General features: G+C 40.3%; 1 annotated feature.

The window, feature by feature from the left end:
* Positions 14,815-15,390: an enhancer, noted in NCBI's record as "H3K27ac-H3K4me1 hESC enhancer chr20:16911071-16911646 (GRCh37/hg19 assembly coordinates)". NCBI's record gives its function as "activates a minimal SCP1, AML or CMV promoter by ChIP-STARR-seq in primed H9 embryonic stem cells {active_cell/tissue: H9 hESC(primed)}" and the evidence as "EXISTENCE:reporter gene assay evidence [ECO:0000049][PMID:30033119]".

Raw genomic sequence — 20,353 nt, 5'->3', positions numbered from 1 at the left:
GCAGCATTTTCTGATGTCTATCATTTACTTACCATATGACCCAGCCTTTCTATTCCTAGGTATGTTCACATGAGAAATGAAGACATAAGTCTACATGCAAAAAAAAAAAAAAAGGTTCATGAATGCTTGTGGCAGCTTTAGCTGTCATCCTCAGAACTGGAAACAACCTAATGTCCAGTGTCTGGTGAATGGAGAAACCATAATAAATCCATAAAATGGAATATTACTCAACAATAAAAAGGACTAAAGTACTGATAGAAACAGCAATATGGATGGATTTCACAAGAATTATGGTAAGTTAAAACAAGTCAAATTCTAAGGGCTCCATATTTTACAATTCCAGTTATATGACATTCAGAAAAAGGCAAAACTAAATTAGTAGAGAATAGATCAGGGGTTGCCAGGGGTGAAGGTGGAGGTAAGGGTAAATGACCTTAGAGAGGACAAGAAAACTTTATCAGGGTGGTGCAAAATTTCTGTATCTTAATGTGGTAATGACTACCTGACACTATACATTCATCAACATTTATAGAACTACACACCTCAAAAGTGAATTTTTTTCTGTATGAATTATACCTTAATAAATATGTTGCAATGTTCAATGTGAAAAAGGGGGTTGTGACAAATACTCCATTTTACATTCATTCATTCTTCATCTAACCCTTCCCAGGGAGGTCCTGTAAGTCAGACATTGCCAGATAGCTCAGGAATCTAGAGATAATGTGATCTTACTCACAGTGTGGTGAGACTCGTAAAAGAAAATGTGGCTGTTTTGTGATAGCATATTCTTTGCTGTGACAGAGAGAGCACACAGAAGTGCTAAGGTTGTGGAGGAAGAAGCACAGGAAAGCTCCCTGCTAAGGATTTATAGGAGCTGAGGCCTGAAGAACAATTAGATGGTGAGGGGGAAGGCATTCCGGTGTAAGGAACAGCAGGAGAAAAAACACAGGGGCAGCAAAGAGCCAAGGGGAGTGGATCCTCTCCTCCTCCCTCAGCAGCTGCTGTGGGGGGGATCAAACAGCCAGACAGAGCTTGTCTGACCAGCACTGACCCCCTAGAAGAACAGAAGGAAGGCTGGTCCCCTGACCCGGTGCCCTCACAGCATAGACATTTAGAAAAGTCTTGCTAAATTCTGCCTCACAGTTGAATTCCAGTGATGAACATAGAAAACGTAGAAGTGATAAAAATAGAAAACTACTTTCAAGTAAACGCCACCGTGACAATTATTGAGAAGCAAGAATCTTTGATGGGTGATAAAATTAATGGGTAAAAGTATGATGAGAAGCAGGGTATTTGCATAGTCACAAAGTATCTTTTTAAAACATTTTAGCACAGGGAAACAGGAACGACAGTGCAGGAACCTCACCAACACCACGTTAATCAAGGGATCAAAATGAGTCATACCAGAAGTTAGGTTGTTACCAGGTGCCCTCAACGTGATGCACTGAAAGGGCACAGTGGCCCTTCCGTGGTATCCCTGCCACAGATGCTAGCTTAGATCAGGCTACTATAACAAATTGCAGGAGATGGAGTGGCTTAAATAACAAGTATTCATTTCTCGCAGTTCCGGAGGCTGCAAAGTCCAAGACCAAGGTGCCAGCAGATCTGGTGTCTGGTGAGGACCTACTTCCTGGTTTGCACATGGCTGTCTTCCTGCTGTGTCCCTTCATGGTAGAGAGAAGACAAATGGAGGAAGCAAGCTCCCGTGTCTCTTCTTCTTCTTTTTTTTTTTTTTGAGACAGGGTTTTACTCTGTTGCCCAGACTGGAGTGCAGTGGTGCGATCTCAGCTCACTGCAACCTCCGCCTCCCGGGTTCAAGTGATTCTCCTGCCTCAGCCTCACGAGTAGCTGGGATCACAAGCGTGCACCACCATGCCTGGCTAATTTTTGTATTTTTAGTACAGACTGGGTTTCACCATGTTGGCCAGGCTGGTCTCAAACTCCTGACCTCAGGTGATCCACTCACCTCGGCCTCCCAAAGTGCTGGGATTACAGGCATGAGCCACAGCGCCTGGCAATCTCTTCTTATTAGAGCACTAGTTCCATTCTTGAGGCTCCACCCTCATCACCTAATTACTTCCCAAAAGGCCTGGCCTTCTAACACCGTCATACTACAAGTCAGGATTTCAACATGTGAATTTGGGGGAGACTCAAACATTCAATTCATAACAAATGCATAGCCTCACTCTGATTCTGAGAGAAATATCAGACAAAACCAAATTAAAGAGTGTTCCACAAAACAACTGATTTGTATACTTCAAAAGTTCCCAGGCCATGAGAGAAAAAGAAAAACTGTCATAGATTAGAAGAGACCAAGCAGACGCAATAACTAATTGCAATGTGGAATCCTGGATTAGATCCTGGACCACAATAAGGACATTAGTGGGAAAACAGGCAGAATTCAAATAACATCTGTAGATTAGTTAATAGTACTGCATTGATGTTAATTTCTTGACTTTGATAGTTGTACCAAATTACATAAGATGTTAGCCTTAAGGAAATCTGGGTAAAGGATATTCGGGAGCTCTCTTTGTATATTTGCAACTTTTCTGTAAGTCTAAACTTAGTTTTTCAAATACTTAGAAAATGTTGTCTGAAAAGGTGCAAGCTAATGTTAAAACTTTATACAACTGTGCACAAGGACATTCCTTCTACTGCTAGCTATTTTTATTTATTCAAGTCTTTCCTCAGACTGAACAAAGTGCAGTTAAGAGTTTCTGTAACTAGGAGCAACAAAGTTATCTCGTAGGACAGAAACATGTTCTTACCTTATCTTTTTGTCTTTAAACATCATAGGATTATATATTTAACAGTCATCTCATCCATTCCCAGTTCTCAGGGGTCTCAAACCTAAACTCTCTCCTAGCATATGAGAACTTGTGCTATTGCACAACATTCCACATGCCATCAACATTGTGCAATTCTCACAAGTCTTAGTGCAGTCCCACATGCTGCAGAATAGAAGCTACCTGCGGTTTGCTGAAAGTGGAAGGTTATTCTTCTCAGTCAAGGGTTTTAATTGCAAATAAGGTACCTGCTGCTTGAGTCAGGACTCTGTACAACAGCCAATAGTCTGGTGCTACTGTCAATGCTGGCCTGCACAGGGTCAGTCTTCCATTAAAATGATAAGCCAGGATTTCTCATGTGTATCTGAGCTCTATTTAGCTCCCTCAGACACTGTGGTTTTGTTTTCTGTTTGAAGAAGTGAAGGTCAAGCAGAAAGAACACATTTTTCTTGATAACCATTAGATAGAAAGCTAAAGTGGGTTTTAAGATCTGATTGAACTTGAAGAGAATAGAATGCATCTCTTCTAACACCACTTGCCTATATAAGGGGTTGTCAGCCTTTAGGCAGAGCAGCATTCATTTGCCTTTTCTGACAGTTTCAGTTTCCTGGGGGTGATGAACTCTCCTCCACTCTGTGCAGTCTTGGTGGGATGGCACACCCAATTGCTTGCACAGGCATGCTAATAGTTAATGGCAAGTTTGAAGACTTCTTTTGCTAGACCCTTCCTTTTGCTATCCTGGTGCATCCACGTGCATAGCTCATGTTCTGATGTTGGTGCAGAGGTTGCTTCATTCTCAGACTTTGAAACTTGAGTTGAGAGATGCAAGGAGGAAAGAAACTGCTGCAGCTGAATTCCTTGAGTGTTGTAGCCCTGGGAGGCTGTGGAGATGCTCCTGGAGAAGGCACTCTGATTCCCTGGGTCTCACCTCTTTCAAACCCAGTTCTTCAACTTTCTTCATCCTGGGAGCTGGACCACACCCTGACAATACATTTTCCTTTAAAAAGCTAGCCAGAGTTGCCACCTGTTATTTGCCACCAGACAATTAAAAAGATCTGGTTGAATCCTCCAAAATAATGAGAAGACCCTTAAGTGGCTCCCAACTCAAAGAAAAGGATCCTCAATACCATGAAGTTTCAGAACCTGTGGTTGTATTCTGAGATTTTTGGAAATATAAAACATAGACATCAACCTTTTAAGCTTTTTAATCACTGAAGTAGCTTCTGAGAAGGAAGAGAATCCTTGAAACATATAATTACTTACAAAGTATCTTAAACTAGAATTAACTAATTTCAAAGTATCATTTGAAAATGACTGCAATATGTACTTTGTGCCAGTTTATTTATATGTACATTATGTTTACTAATATAAATGATCAGAGTTCATGAATTTCTCTTGACTGTTGGTATAATTTTCTATCTTGGGATTTAAAAACAATAAAAAGTTAATGAAACACAACCCTAAATGACAGAGGCTTCTGAATGTGAAGTCACTATAAACATTTTTAAAGACCTGCCCTGTTTCTTAAAAGTTAAACACACACTACCATATGATCCAGACAGTTCACTTCTAGATATTCACTCAAGAAAAATAATAGCATGTGTCCATATAATGTCTTGTACAATATGTTTATAGCAGCTTGATTTGTAGTAACGTAAAACCGGAAACAACCCAAATGTCCATTAACAGGTGACCGAACAAATAAATTGTAGTATATTTCTACAATGGAATAACACTCAGCAATAAAAAAGGAGACAGGTATAGGGGCCAAGGGAAAGCTTCCCCTTTGCCCTCTGGAGGTTTGCTGGAAAATCAACATATAGAAGGCAGATTAATAGGAGAAATTGCATACAGATTTATTAACATGCATGAGGAGAACCATGGAGTGTTTACCCCAACCCCCTAAATGAGTTGAAGAAGCTTATATACCTTTTTCATAAGGGAGGGAGGATATGAGGAATGTAGACAATTCTCTTGCAGGACAGTAAGTGAGTATTAGGGAGAAAGAATGAACCAGGGAGACAGGAATTAACTTGTAAATGATTCTCTTTTGAATTTGAATGAGCCTGAGAGGCAGGCATTATCTTGTGGAACAAAATATATAAGATCTTAAAGAAAGGCAAGATGGTTGAGCTTTTATACCATCTTGAGGTTACAGAAAGAATAGGGCTTGGATGGTGGCAAGTGGGTTATGGCAGTGGGAGAAGAGGAGACGTGGCTAGCAAAGGTGGTCTTGTTATGTAGATGAAACCTCTCAGGTGGCAGCCCTCAGAGAGAATAGATGGTATAGGTTTCTTTCAGACTTTAAAGGTGTCAATGTCTCAGTTCATCTTTCCTAGATTGGACAAGGGAGGACCTCAGAGAAAGCTTGGCTGTGCCAGTGCAGATTTTCTCTACAGATGCAAATCTCCCCCACAAAAGATGGCTTTTCAGCCATTTTTATATTTCCAGACCTCCTGAATAGCCATCTTGAAATACATCAGAGAAGCATATTCTGGGGTGTTAATGAAAAAACAGGCTCTGTAAAATATCTTAAAGAGGTTTATTTTGAGCCAATATGAGTGACCACAGCCCACAGAAAACACAAATCAAAGAAACCTTAACTGGTCCTAAGGCAGTCAGGTTATAGTTTGGTTTTTCACATTTTAGGAAGAGAGGAATTGTAGGTAAAATTATACATCAATACATGGATAGCATTCATTGGTTTAGCCCACAGATATGGGACATCTCAAAGCTTACAAGTCATGTTAGTGGTGGCAGGTAGTCTAGTTATTGGTGGCAAATTCATACAGGTCTTCAGCAACCTCAACTCTTGCCTCTTCAGAAGAAAGAATTCGACTGGTGGACAGAAGGCAGAAAAAGAGACCAAGGCAAGTTTTAGGGTAGGAATGAAAATTTATTAAAAAGCTTTACAGCAGGAATGAAAAGAAAGTAAAGCACAATTAGATGAGGGCCACATGGGCACCTTGGAGGGCAAGCGCGGGGTTTGACCTTTTGACTTGGGGTTTTATATGTTGGCACACTTCCAGGGTCTTGTGTCCCTTCTCCCCTGATTCTTCCCTTGGGGTGGGTTGTCTGCATGTGCAGTGCTTGCTAGCACTTGGGAGGGGAGCAAGCACAGTGTGTTTCCCGGAGTTGTATGAATGCTTACCAAAGATGTTCTTCCCTTACCAGCTGTATTTCCTTAGGAGGTCATATACCAGTTACACTCTGCCATTTTGCCTCTTAATGTGCATGTGTGAGCCCACTCACCCAACTCCTGAGTTCTTATCAGGAAGCTGCTGATCACCAGATTCAGGGGTTTTTTTATCTACAGGGAGACTGCCTTTCCCTGGCACTGGCTGCAACCAGTTATTACTTTAGAGACAGTAAACAACTGCCTGACCATCACCTGATGATCGCCTGACATTCCTGGTTGGGGACAGGGGTGCTCTCCTTCCCTGCTTATGTCTGCCTACCTGCTATACAGTCATGGGTGGATTTTAGGAAATCTTTAGTTAGCAATTGGTTGAAAGAGTTGTGCTTTGTCTAAAGACTTGAAGTCAATACAAAGGAATGCTTATGTTAAGATAAGGGGTCCTACTGTCTGTCATGTGATGCTATACCATAGTCAGGTTGGATATTAAGCTACGTTGTATCAGGTTAATTTAAAAAAGTTTAACAAGATTTTTTGGTTTGTAGGGTGTGACTTAATCCTGGCCTTGCATTGCCTTAGGTCTTTTATACTTTGGTATCTTACTGCCACAAAGAGTCCATTCTGTCAGTCTTGTGATCTCTACTGAAACGTTAATGCTGGTCAGTTGTGTGTAAATTCCAAAAGAGAGGGGGTATAATGAAGTGTGTTCAACCTCCCTTCCCATCGTGACTGGGAATTCCATTTTTAAGGTTTTTCTGGGCTCCTCTTGGCTAAGAAAGGGTCTCTTCAGTTGGTTGCAGGTGGGGCTTAGGATGTTGTGAAATATTTTGGTTTCCTTCACATGCAGGAACGTGGATAAATCTCAAAATAATTATGCTGAGTGACAAAAGCCAAACAAAAGAAGAGTACATACTGTATATACTCCTTTTATATATCATTCTGGAAGATGCAAACTAATCTATGGTAACTATAGCTGACCAATGGTTACTGTGGAGTGGGAAAGAGATGACAAAGGGATGTAAGGAAACTTGTGGGTGACAGATTTATTCAATATCTTGATCATAGTGATGTTTTCACAGATATATTAGTATGTCAGACTATTCAAGTTATTCACTTTAAATATGTGCAACTTATTGTATGCCAGTTATTCCTCAATAAAGCTATTGTAAGAATCTAGGTACTCACCAGCCAGATTTGGTGCTAGATAATCTGGCAGGAATATGCAAAATACAATGCTAGCACTCAGAGAGATCTGAGACCGTCTAATTCTGGGGTGGGAAGGGGGCAATTTTTTTTTATAAAGAGTAAATATTTCTGGCTTTGTGGGCCATAGGATTTCTGTTACAATACTCATCTCTGCTGACACGATACAAAAAAAAAAAAGGTCACAGATAATATGTAAATAAATGAGAGTGGCTGTGTCCCAATAAAACTTTATTTATGAAAACAGGAAGTGGGCCAGATTTGGTCCATGGGCTTTAGTTTGCTGACTGTAATGTAGTTGAACACATTTATTATACAGAAACAAAGAGATGAATGCTATGTGGACAATAGCAACTTGTAAAAATCAGAAGTTATATACTTCAATATTGTTTATCAACCTCTAGTTATAAAAATATAAGTTAAAACTATATTAGGACTTATGCCAGAATATCACTCCATAGATTGGCAGTGGCAATGGGAAATGTATCTTTCTGGTAGAGAAATCCATAAGCCACCACCTTAACCAACAACAGCATTTATCACAAATAGTGGGACCATCTGATTTTATATGCCTCCTGATGTAATGTAAAATGAATTAGGCAGCATCATTTATGAAGAATTATTACCAACAATGTTTAATATCTTTGTAATTTAATCAAGCCTTTGGATTTTCTTTCTAGCCTGTAAGACATACAAGAGAAATAGGAACAAATTAAATCCCTTGAAGAAACAATGAGAGAAATCTAGAATAAGAGACATGCCACAAGATAGCTGGTTTGATCTCTTAAAGAAGTAAATGCTATGGGGAAAAAAACATATCTGAGGAAGATCACGCTAGATTAAACATTCTGGTTTGAAAAAATATTTCTAGAAAAGATATTTTAGGTAATATTGTGGTTTGAATGTGTCTCCCAAATTTCATGTGTTGGAAATTTAATCCCCAGATTCACATATTAATGGTATTTGGAGGTGGGGCCTTTGAGAGTTAATTAGGGTTAGATAAGGTCATCAGGGTGGGACCCCCATGATGAGACTGGTGGCTTAATAAGAAGAAGACAAGGGATCTGAGCTGGCACACTCTCGCCCTCTCTCCATGTGATACCCTTCACCATGTTATGATATAGGAAGACAGCCCTCACCGGGTGCTGGTGCCATGCTCTTGGACTTCCCAGTCTCCAGAAATGGGGGCTAAATAAACTTCTACTCTTTATAAATGATCCAGTCTGTGATATTATGTTACAGCAACATAAAACAGACTTAGACACGTAAAAATGGAGAAATATGACTATAGTCTAGTTATCTAATCAAGATAATATTAATATTACCTAGTTTAGATAATATTATTAAATGATTGTGGCTTTTCTTAGGTAGAATAATAATATTGTGATTTTGTAGGAGAATATTCTTATTTTAGAAAACAAATGACAAAATACTTAGAGAAAATGTTTCATGATGTCAGCTACTAAAAATATATATATATAAAAAGAAATAGGTGCCGGGCACGGTGACTCACACTTGTAATCTCAGCACTTTGGGAGGCCGAGGTGGGCAGATCATGAGGTCAGGAGATGGAGATCATCCTGGCTAGCATGATGAAACCGCGTCTCTACTAAAAATACAAAAAATTAGTTGGGCATGGTGGCAGGCACCTGTAGTCCCAGCTACTTGGGAGGCTGAGGCAGGAGAATGGTGTAAGCCTGGGAGGTGGAGCTTGCAGTGAGCGGAGATTGTGCCACTGCACTCCAGCCTGGGCAACAGGGCAAGACTCCTTCTAAAAAAACAAAAAGAAAAGAAAAGAAATAAAACAAATATGGAAATAGGTTAATAATTGCTGAGTCCAGGTTGTGGGGTTATATGTGCTCATTGAACTTCTCTTTTGACTTTCTGTATATTTAAATGTGTTTATAGAAAAAGTTGATAAAATTGTTTTATTTGATGATATGCCTTGAGAGGAGAATATTCTTATATACACATATTTAAATTATGATAATTGTCCTTTTTAATCAAGACAATAAAAAGAAGGTGAGAGAATATTCTATTACAGGATAAACTAAGAGCTTTATTTATTTATTTTTATTTTTACTTTTACTTTAAGTTCCAGGATACATGAGCAGAACGTGCATGTTTGTTACATAGGTATACGTGTGCCATGTTAGTTTGCTGCACCTATTGAACCATTCTCTAGGTTCCCTTCCCTTGCCCCCCACAACCCAACAGGGCCTAGTACGTATTGTTCCCCTCCCTGTGTCCATGTGCTCTCGTATTTCAACTCCCACTTATGAGTGAGGACATGTGGTGTTTGGTTTTCTGTTCTTGTGTTAGTTTGTTGAGGATGATGGCTTCTGGCTTTATCCGTGACCTTGCAAAGGACATGATCTCATTAATTTTTGAGGCTGCATAGTATTCCATGGTGTACCACATTTTCTTTATCCAGTCTATCATTGATGGACATTTGGATTGGTTCCAGTGCTGCAATAAACATGTGTATGCATGTGTCTTTATAGCAGAATGATTTATATTCCTTTGGGTATATACCCAGTAATGGGATTGCTGGGTCAAATGGTATTTCTGGTTCTAGATCCTTGAGGAATTGCCACACCGTCTTCCACAATTGTTAAACTAATATATATTCCCACCAACAGTGTAAAAGCATGCCTATTTCTCCACAGCCTCACCAGCATCTATTGTTTCTTGACTTGTTAATAATCACCCTTCTGACTGGCATGAGATGGTATCTCATTGTAGTTTTGATTTGCATTTCTCTAACGATCAGTGATGTTGAGCTTTTTTTCATATGTTTCTTGGCTGCATAAATGTCTTCTTTTAAGAAGTGTCTGTTCATATCCTTTGCCCAGTTTTTGATGGGGTTGTTTTTTTTTTCTTGTACATTTGTTTAAGTTCCTTGTAGATTCTGGATGTTAGATCTTTGTCAGATAGACAGATTGCAAAAATTTTCTCCCATTCTGTACGTTGCCTGTTTACTCTGATGATAGTTTATTTTGCTGTGCAGAAGCTCTTTAGTTTTATGGTTTTAGGTCTTACATTTAAGTCTTTAATCCATCTTGAGTTAATTTTTGTATAAGCTGTAAGGAGGGGGTCCAGTTTCAGTTTTCTGCAGATGGCTAGCCAGTTTTCCCAACACCATTTATTAAATAGGGAATCCTTTCCCCATTGCTTGTTTTTGTCAGGTTTGTCAAAGATCAGATGGTTTTAGATGTGTGGCATTATTTCTGAGGCCTCTGTTCTGTTCCACTGGTCAATATATGTGTTTTGGTACCAGTACCATGCTGTTTTGGTTACTGTAGGCTTGTAGTACAACTTGAAGTCAGGTAGTATGATGCCTCCAGTTTTGTTCTTTTTGCTTAGGATTGTCTTGGCTGTACGGGCTCTTTTTTTGTTCCATATGAAATTTAAAGTGTTTTTTTCTAATTATGTGAAGAAAGTCAATGGTAGCTTGATGGAGATAGCATTGAATCTATAAATTACTTTAGGCAGTATGGCCATTTTCACGATATTGATTCTTCCTATCCATGAGCATGGAATGTTTTTTCCATTTGTTTGTGTCCCCTCTTATTTCCTTAAGCAGTGGTTTGTAGTTCTCCTTGAAGAGGTCCTTCACATCCCTTGTAAATTGTATTCCTAGGTATTTCATCCTCTTTGTAGCAATTGTGAATGGGAGTTCACTCATGATTTGGCTCTCTGTTTGTCTGTTATTGGTGTATAGGAATGCTTGTGAGATTTGCACATTGATTTTGTATCCTGAGACTTTGCTGAAGTTGCTTATCAGCTTAAGGAGATTTGGGATTGAGATGATGGAGTTTTCTAAATATGCAATCATGTCATCTGCAAATAGAAACAATTTAACTTCCTCACTTCCCATTCGAATACCCTTTATTTGTTTCTCTGGACTGATGGTCCTGGCCAGAACTTCCAATACTATGTTGAATAGGAGTGGTGAGAGAAGGCATCCTGTCTTGTGCCAGTTTTCAAAAGGAATGCTTCCAGCTTTTGCCCATTCAATATGATATTGGCTGTGGGTTTGTCATAGATATACCTCTTATTATTTTGAGATATGTTCCATCAATACCTACTTTATTGAGAGTTTTTAACATTAAGGGATGTTGAATTTTATCAAAGGCCTTTTCTGCATCTATTGAGATAATCATGTAGTTTTTGTCTTTGGTTCTGTTTATATGATAGATTATATTTATTGATTTGTGTATGTTGAACCAGCCTTGCATCCCAGGGATGAAGCTGACTTGATTGTGGTGGATAAGTTTTCTGATGTGCTGCTCGATTTGGTTTGCCAATATTTTATTGAGAAGTTTTGCATTGATGTTCATCAGGGATATTGGCCTGAGGTTTTTTTTGTTGTTGTTGTATCACTGCCAGGTTTTGGTGTCAGGATGATGCTGGCTTCATAAAATGAGTTAGGGAGGAGTCCCTCCTTTTCAATTGTTTGGAATAGATTCAGAAGGAATGAAACCAGCTCCTCTTTGTTCTTCTGGTGGAATTTGGCTGTGAATCCACCTGGTCTTGGGCTTTTTTTTTTTTTGGTTGGTAGGCTATTAATTACTGCTTCAACTTCAGAACTTGTTATTGGTCTATTCAGGAATTTCACTTCTTCCTGGTTTAGTCTTGGGAGGGTTTTTGTGTCCAGGAATTTCTCCATTTTGTCTAGATTTTCCAGTTTATTTACATAGAGGTATTTATAGTATTCTCTGATGGTAGTTTGTATTTCTCTGCGGTCAGTGGTGCTATCCTCTTTATCGTTTTTTTATTGTGTCTATTTCGTTCTTCTCTCTTTTGTTCATTTTTAGTCTAGCTAGTGGTCTATCTATTTTGTTAATTTTTTCCAAAGACAGCTTCGGGTTTCATTTATTTTTTGGAGGTTTTTCTTGTCTTTATCTCCTTTGATTCCGCTCTGATCTTAGTTATTTCTTGTGTTCTGCTAGCTTTTGGATTTGTTTACTTTTGCTTCTCTAGCTCTTTTAATTGGTGATGTTTGGATGTCAATTTGAGAGCTTTCTAGCTTTCTGATGTGGGCATTTTGTGCTATAGAATTCCATCTTAACACTGCTGTTTCCCAGAGATTCTGGTACATTGTCTCTTTGTTCTCATTGGTTTCAAAGCACTTATTGATTTCTACCTTGATTTCGTTATTTACCCAGGAATCATTCAGGAGCAGGTTGTTCAATTTCCAAGTAATTGTGTGGTTTTAAGTGAGTTTCTTAATCCTGTTCTAATTTGATTGCACTGTGATCTGAAAAACTGCTTGTTATGATTTCAGTTCTTTTGCATTTGCTGAGGAGTGTTTTACTTCCAATTGTGTGGTTGATTTTAGAATAAGTGCTATGTGGCACTGAGAAGAATGTAGATTCTATTGATTTGGGTGGAGAGTTTTGTAGATGTCTATTAGGTCCACTTGATCAAGAGCTGAGTTCAAGTCTTGAATATCCTTGTGAATTTTCTGTCTCATTGATCTGTCTAATATTGACAGTGGGGTGCTAACGTCTTCCACTATTATTGTGTGGGAATCTAAGTCTCTTTGTAAGTCCCTAAGAACTTGTTTTATGAATCTGGATGCTCCTGTATTAGGTGCATATATATTTAGGATAGTTAGCTCTCCTTGTTGAATTGGTCCCTTTACCATTATGTAGTGCCCTTCGTCTCTTTTGATCTTTGTTGGTTTAAAGTCTGTCTTGTCAGAGACTAGCATTGCAACCCCTGATTTCTTTTGCTTTCCATTTGCTTGGTAAATTTTTCTCCATCCCTTTATTTTGAGTCTATGTGTGTCTTTGCATGTGAACTGGGTCTCCTGAATACAGCACACCAAAGGTTCTTGACTCTTTATCTAATTTGCCAGTCTGTATCTTTTAATTGGGGCATTTAGCCCATTTTCATTTAAGGTTAGTATTGTTATGTGTAAATTTGATCCTGTCATCATTATGCTATCTAGTTATTTTGCACACTGTTTGATGCAGTTTCTTCATAGTGTCATTGGTCTTTATATTTTGGTGTGTTTTTGCAGTAGCTGGTACTTGCTTTTCCTTTCCATATTTAGTGCTTCCTTTAGGAGCTCTTGCAAGGCAGGCTTGGTGGTAATGAAATTCCTCAGCATTTGCTTGTCTGGAAAGGATTTTATTTCTTCTTCACTTATGAAGCTTAGTTTGGCTGGATATGAAATTCCGTGTTGAAAATTCTTTTCCTTAAGAATGTTGAATATTGGCCCCTGCTCTCTTCTGGCTTGTAGGGTTTCTGCAGAGAGATCTGCTGTTAGTCTGATGGGCTTCCCTTTGTAGATGACCTGGCCTTTCTCTCTGGCTGCCCTTAACATTTTTTCCTTCATTTCAACCTTGGAGAATCTGATGATTATGTATCTTGGGGTTGATCTTCTTAAGAAGTATCTTAGTGGTGTTCTCTGTATTTCCTGAATTTGAATGTTGGCCTGTCTTGTAGGTTGGGGAAGTTCTTTTGGATAATATCCTGAAGTGTGTTTTCCAGCTTGTTTCCATTTTCCCCATCTCCTTCAGGTACTCCAATCAATCGTAGGTTCAGTGTTTTTACACAGTTCTGTATTTCTCGAAGGCTTCATTTGTTCCTTTTCATTTTTTTCTCTATTCTTGTCTGCATGCCTTATTTCAGCAAGATGGTCTTCAAATTCTGATATCCTTTTTTCTGCTAGGTCAATTCAGCTATTGATATTTGTGTATGCTTCATAAAGTTAACATGCTGTTTTTCAGCTCCATCATGTCATTTATGTTCCTCTCTAAACTGGTTATTCTAGTTAGCAGCTCCTCTAACCTTTTATCAAGGTTCTTAGCTTCTTTACATTGGATTAGAACATGCTCCTTTAGCTCAGCAGAGTTTGCTATTACCCATCTTCTGAAGCCTACTTCTGTCAGTTCATCCATCTCATCCTCTATCCAGGTCTGCATCCTTCCTGGAGAGACATTGTGATCATTTGGAGGAGAAGAGGAGCTCTGGCCTTTTGGGTTTTCAGCATTTTTTCATTGATTCTTTCTCATCTTCATGAGTTTGTCTAGTTTTGATCTTTGAAGCTGCTGACCCTTGGATGGGGTTTTGTGGGGACTTTTTTTGTTGTTGATGCTGTTGTTGCTTTCTGTTTGTTTGTTTTTCCTTCAATGATCAGGTGCATTTTCTGAAGGGGTGGTGCGGTTTCCTGGGGGTTTACTTCAGGCCCTATTCATTTGGTTTGCTCATGTGCTTGGAGATGTCACTCAAGGAGGCTAGAGAACAACAAAGGTGGGTGCCTGCTCTTTCCTCTGGGATCTCTGACCTCCAGGGGCACCAACCCGATGACAGTAGGATCGCTCCTGCATAGGGTGTCTGACAAACCCTATTGCGTGGCATGGGGAACAGGACTCATTTAACAAAGCACTTTGGCTGTCCCTTGGTGGAGGGGATGTGCTTTGCTGTGGGGAAACCCACTCATCTTGGCTGCCCAGATTCTTCAGAGCTAGCAGGAGGAAATGCTGTCTTCTGGTCTGCAGAGACTGCAACCACTCCTCCCTCTAGGGCCTCAGGCCCAGGGAGATCAGAGTTCTGTCCCTGAGCCCCTGGCTGGAGTTGTTGGAGTTCCTGCAGGGAGTCCCTGCCCAGTGAGAAGGGATGGGTCAGGGTCAGGCCTGAAGAGGCACTCTGGCTGTAGTCTGCCACAGCTGGTGTGTTGGGCTATGGGGGACACTTCTTAGGACAAGCTATCCAGCCTCCCTGGCTCCAGCAGGGGAAAAGCACAGCCTGGAGCTGCAGAGAGGGATGACGCCCTTCCTTTGCCTAGGGAGCTTAGTGTGTCAGGCAGCTCTCTGTCCCAGAGCTGGCTGTTGCCCTTCCCCGAAGGGGCTCAAATGGCTTAGACAGCAGGCAGCTGCAGCTGTGGTGCTGGTCGTCTCTCCCCGCAGAAACTCAGCAGGTTTAAGCAGATTCTAGCTGAGAGGCTGTTGAGAATCTGCATGGCTCCAGGGTTGGGACCCAAGGCCCTGGTGGCATGGGTTCATGAGTGGGATCTTCTGATACATGGGTTGCACAGTTCCGTGGAAAAAGCACGGTTTCCCTGGTTGGGTAGCATGCTCACTCACTACCTCCCTTGGCTGGGGGATGTGGGCTCCACGACCCTGTGTGGCTGTCAGGTGGGCAGCTGCACCACACTGCTCTTCTTTCCTCTCCGCAGGTAATGCCAGTCATCTAGACTGTTCTGATGAGAGAACCTGGTTACCTCAGTTGCTGGTGCAAGATTCACATGCTATTATGGTTTTTTTGATGGGAGCCTTTGATCACCACTGCTTCTAGTTGGTCATCTTGGCCCTGCCCCCTACTAAGAGCTTTTCAACATTAAACTATCGTATATTTTCAAATAGGCGATTAAAAGAAGAAAAATAATTTTTCAAAAGGAAAACAGTTGTCACAGACCTTTAGTTAAGATGCACATTTGAATGACCAGGGAAATTCTGAGAAACATTTATTGTGGCTTGAATATTTGATACAAGGACAGAATTCATTTTAAAAAAAACCCTTATATTCTATAATTGTGGCACTTTTGTAGACTAGAAAAATAACTATAAAATCTCCAGGTGCAGAAAAAGAGTAAATTTTAGTGTTTTCAAATATCCCATGCAAGACATGATACAATGTTTGAAGAAGAAAAATGATCTCCCAGCATTAGGAAAGTAGAAGGGTGGTGGGTGGAACCAGCCACAGTCATGACTCAGGTGGCCTTGGCTGCCTCTTAGAATTTCTGGATATTTGTGCTCTGTGACTAATGACCACAGTGTTTTAGGCTGCATACATTTTACCTGTTTTTTCACTGTGTATCAACTAATTATTGAGTAAGAAACAAGATAAATCTCTGTAAATTATATCTATTAGAGCCTGACTCTAGGAAAGAAGCACCCCCTTCACAATCCCCTTCACAATCACAATTCTTGAGCATAGCACCTATGTGTGCATGAGGGCTTTCTGTAGCCCTGAGAATCCAAGTGTGGGGTTCACTGGGAATGCTGGAGAGCTAATGCTCCCTAGGAGCAGTTTCCAACCAGTAACTGGCAGGAATCAGTAGGTTAACACCCCAGATCCTTTGCCACTTGGTTGGACAGCTCTCAGGCATGTTCTATATTGTCTCCCAAAGGTCACCATCAGGACTGATTCCTGGTTGCCCACAGTGATAATGTGCTGAATTCAAACTCTTCCTTGCCCTCCTTCTCTTTCCTGTCTCACTCCTCCCCTCTCTTACCAGTGCTGCCTGGGATCACCTGCTAAATAAGCTACTTGAATTCACTTTTATGTAGGCAAGTATTCTTTTTGGAGATCAACCCAAGATAAGACTTGCAGGCTCCAGAACCCCTGATAACATAGGCACCTACATGAACCAAATACACAGCCCTTTCATATGATGCAGGTACCATCAAGGTTAAATATGGATTAAAGTGATGTATTAGTCCATTCTCACACACTGTAAAGATACTACCCGAGACTGGGTAATTTATAAAGGAAAGAGGTTTAGTTGACTCAGTTCTACGTGGCTGGGGAGGCCTCAGGAAACCCATAATCATGGTGGAAGAGGGAACAAGGACCTTCCCCACATGGCAGCAGGAGAGAGAGAAGAATGAAGGAGGAATTTCCAAACACTTATTAAACTATCAGATCTCATGAGAACTCACTCACTATCACGAGAACAGCATGGGAGAAACTGCCCCCGCCCCAACCCCGATCCAATCACCTCCCTTCCTTGACACATGGGGATTACAGGTCTCTTCCTAGACATGTGGGAATTACAATTCAAGATGAGATTTGGGTGGGACACAGAGCCAAACCATATCAAGTGATAATCCACATTTAGCCTCTATTAACAGGAGTGAGCCTATTATCCCAGCACTTTGGGAGGCCAGGGCTGAAGGATCACCCGAGTCCAGGAGTTTGAGACCATCCTGGCCAACATAGTGAAACTGTCTCTACAAAAAAAAAAAAAAAAAAGAAGAAGAAGAAGAATAATTATTACCTGGGTGTGGCGGTGTGGACCTGTAGTCCCACCAACTTTGGAGGATCCCTTGAGCCCAGGAGTTCAAGCCTGTAATGAGCTATGTTTGTGCCACTGTACTCCAGGCTGGGTGAGAGAGTAAGACCCTCTCTCTATTAAAAAGAAAATAACAAAAGACTAGTTTGGTTCTGTTCCTACCTAATCACCATTTTCTTGTTGAGCTTTCTTACCTTCGTCTGAATTAACACGTGCTTTACTGATGTCTTTTAATTGAATTTTTTTTTATAACTTTGAATTCAGGGTGACTATTGACTGTTCTTAGTGAATTTTTTTAAGATATAAACTTCACAGGAATTTATGGTGAGTAAAGTAAAATATAGCCTGAACCCCCAAGCCCTGGGCCTTTTATATATGCATATTCATATAGCAAGTAGCAAGAGTAAGCACCGAGCAATCAAACACCATAGCAAGCACAAAACCAACAGCTGACTTAGAAAGAACCCTTGGATTTTTATGCTCTAGGTTTCATTCAATTCACAGTGATATTTTTTAGACCTTAGTGATACAACCAAATTAACACATGTCTACAGTGTCTAGTAGAAACCATTGGTTGGACCAAGGAGAGAGAGAAGGAAGGAAGGAAGGGAGGAAGGAAGGAAGGAAGGAAGGAAGGGAGGGAGGGAGGGAGGGAGGGAGGGAGGGAGGAAGGAAGGAAGGAAGGAAGGGAGGGAAAGGGAGGAAAAATCCAAAGAACACAAAGAAAAGCAAGTCTTGGGAAGTAAATAAGTTGCAAGTATTAGCTTACAGAATCCTTGCTACATCTGTATAAAATTATTATTATTATCATCCTATTTTATAGATGAGGAAACCAAGGCACAAAAAAAGTTTTTAAAAATGGTCCAAGCTGTAAGACCTAATAAGAAGCAGAGCCAGGATTTGGACCAAAACAGCCTAACTACAAAGCTACACCGTGTACACCCTAAAGGTGGAAGAGAGCAGTTTCCATGTCTATGTTAAGCTAAGCCCAGAAATCTCAGTTACTTAGTCACCCCTTTTTGTGGGTCAAGGTTAGGTAAAATTTTCTTTCTACTTTCATGAAGAAAGTTTGGAAAGGAAATTAAGGATGCCAGTGTCAGAAAACTAGGGTAAACTCTGTTATTTTGGTTATCATGGAGAGTTAAGAAATTCTAAATTACATGAAGCCACCAAGTCCTGAAAATATTCAAGCAGTCCTAGGAAGGATACCCAATGTGAGGAAGAGCTAAGGACTCCTCCTAACAGCCATGGAGAGGCCATGATGGAAGCAGATTCTCCAGCCACTGTTAAACCTTCCAATGATTGCACCTGCAGGTGACAGTTTGACTGCAACCTCCTGAGACCATGAGCCAGAACTGTCCATTTAAGCCACTCCCAAATTTCTGATTCACAGAGACTGTGAGGCAATAAATATTTATTGTTTTAAGCCACTAACAGTGTGGTAATCTCCTCTGCAGCATTAGTTAACTAATATAGATTTTGGTGCTGAGAGTGGAGTTTGAACCTGTGTTAATTTGCTATTGTTGGCATAGCAAAGTACCGCAGAGTAGGTGGTTTAAAGAGGAAAGATTTATTTTCTCACAACTCTGGAGGCTAGGAACCTGAGATCAAGGTGTCAGCAGATCAGTTTCCTCTGAGGCCTCCCTCCTGGGCTTGCAGATGGCCGCCCGCCCCCTGTGCCTTCCCAAGATCTGCCTTCTGTGTGTCTGTATCATAATCTCCTCTTCTTGTAAGGTCACCAGTCATATTGGATTAGTGTTGTCAAACGCCAGGGGTTTGGCCTAGGTCCGGTTGCTCACCACAAAGAAAGCCGATCACTGAGAAAATGAGCGTTGCCAAGGACGAAAGGCTTTATTGCAGGTGACATCAGCCAGGATATGGGGGACAAGTCTCAAATCTGTTTCTCCAACCAATTAAAGTTAAGGGTTTATACAGGAGTCGGTCAACAGACAGCAGGTGCTCAGACAAGGGACCTGGCGTCTTATTGTCTGGACGCAGTGATCTAGGAAGTTTCAGTTTTTTGATATTATCTGGGAGGAAAATTGGATTGGTTTCTCTAGGACCCACCCTAATTACTTCATCTTAACTTAGTAATCTTTTTAAAAACTGATTCTCCAAGTACAGTCATATTCTGAAGTACATGGAGTCAGGATTTCAACATATGAATTTTGAAGGAACAAAATCTAACCCCTAACAGAACCCATTCCATCTCTACTGCTTACTAAATGTCAGATATTAAAGAAGTTTTGTGATTTTCTCTATAAAATGTAAATGATAATACCCAACTCGGAGGACTGTTTTGGATATTTATGTTTAAGTCACTCAATACTGCTTCTAGCACATAATAGGTGAGCTATCAGTATTTGCTGACACTGAAACTCAATGAAGCAGCACTCTGTCAACCCATTTTAAAGCATCTGATTGTCAAGCCCACTGCAAACCTTGTTAAACAAATATCTTCCTTTTAAACTAGACTAGTGAAATTTTACTGTGCATTTTTCCATGTGTTTAATTGCATAGAGGAAGGATTAATGGAAATAAACCTTAGAGGTAGAAAATAATTAGAAAATTTTTGCCAAGAAAAAAATGTTGCTTTAATTTAAACTTTAATTTAGTTCTGTGGAAAGGGCTTTTGCTTTCTCTTATTTGAATTTTATTTTAATAATTCACAGGCAGTGCTGTTGACATGCTCTCATGACCAACCTCAAATTTAATTTATTTTCACCAGCCCAAAGCACAGATGCCTGCTATTATCATGGCTGCTGCTGTGCTCAATTTGTTCTTGCAATAGATGAACATAGAAATAAATTGGCTGCGGAGGGTTTTCTGTGCCATGTTTTATACCCTACTGTGACTCAAGAGATGATAACTTTTATAAAAATTTTGTACAATTTATATAGTTAATTAAAACAGAACTGAGCTGGGCACAGTGGCTTGCACCTGTAATCCCAGCACTTTGGGAGGCCGAGGCAAGAGAATCACTTAAGCCCTGGAGTTCAAGACCAGCCTGGGCAACATAGTGAGACCCATCTCTACAAAAAAGGTAAAAATATTAACTGGGTGTGGTGGCATGTGCCTGTAGTCCCAGCTACTTGGGAGCTGAAGTGGGAATATTGCTTGAGCCCAGGAGTTTGAGGCTGCAGTGAGCCATGATTGTGCCACAGCACTCCAGCCTGGGTAACAGAGTGAGACTTGATT

This window comes from Homo sapiens, chromosome 20, assembly GCF_000001405.40.
Source record: "Homo sapiens chromosome 20, GRCh38.p14 Primary Assembly".
NCBI classification, from domain to species: Eukaryota; Metazoa; Chordata; class Mammalia; order Primates; family Hominidae; genus Homo; species Homo sapiens.
This window is presented reverse-complemented; position numbering and strand designations above follow the sequence as displayed.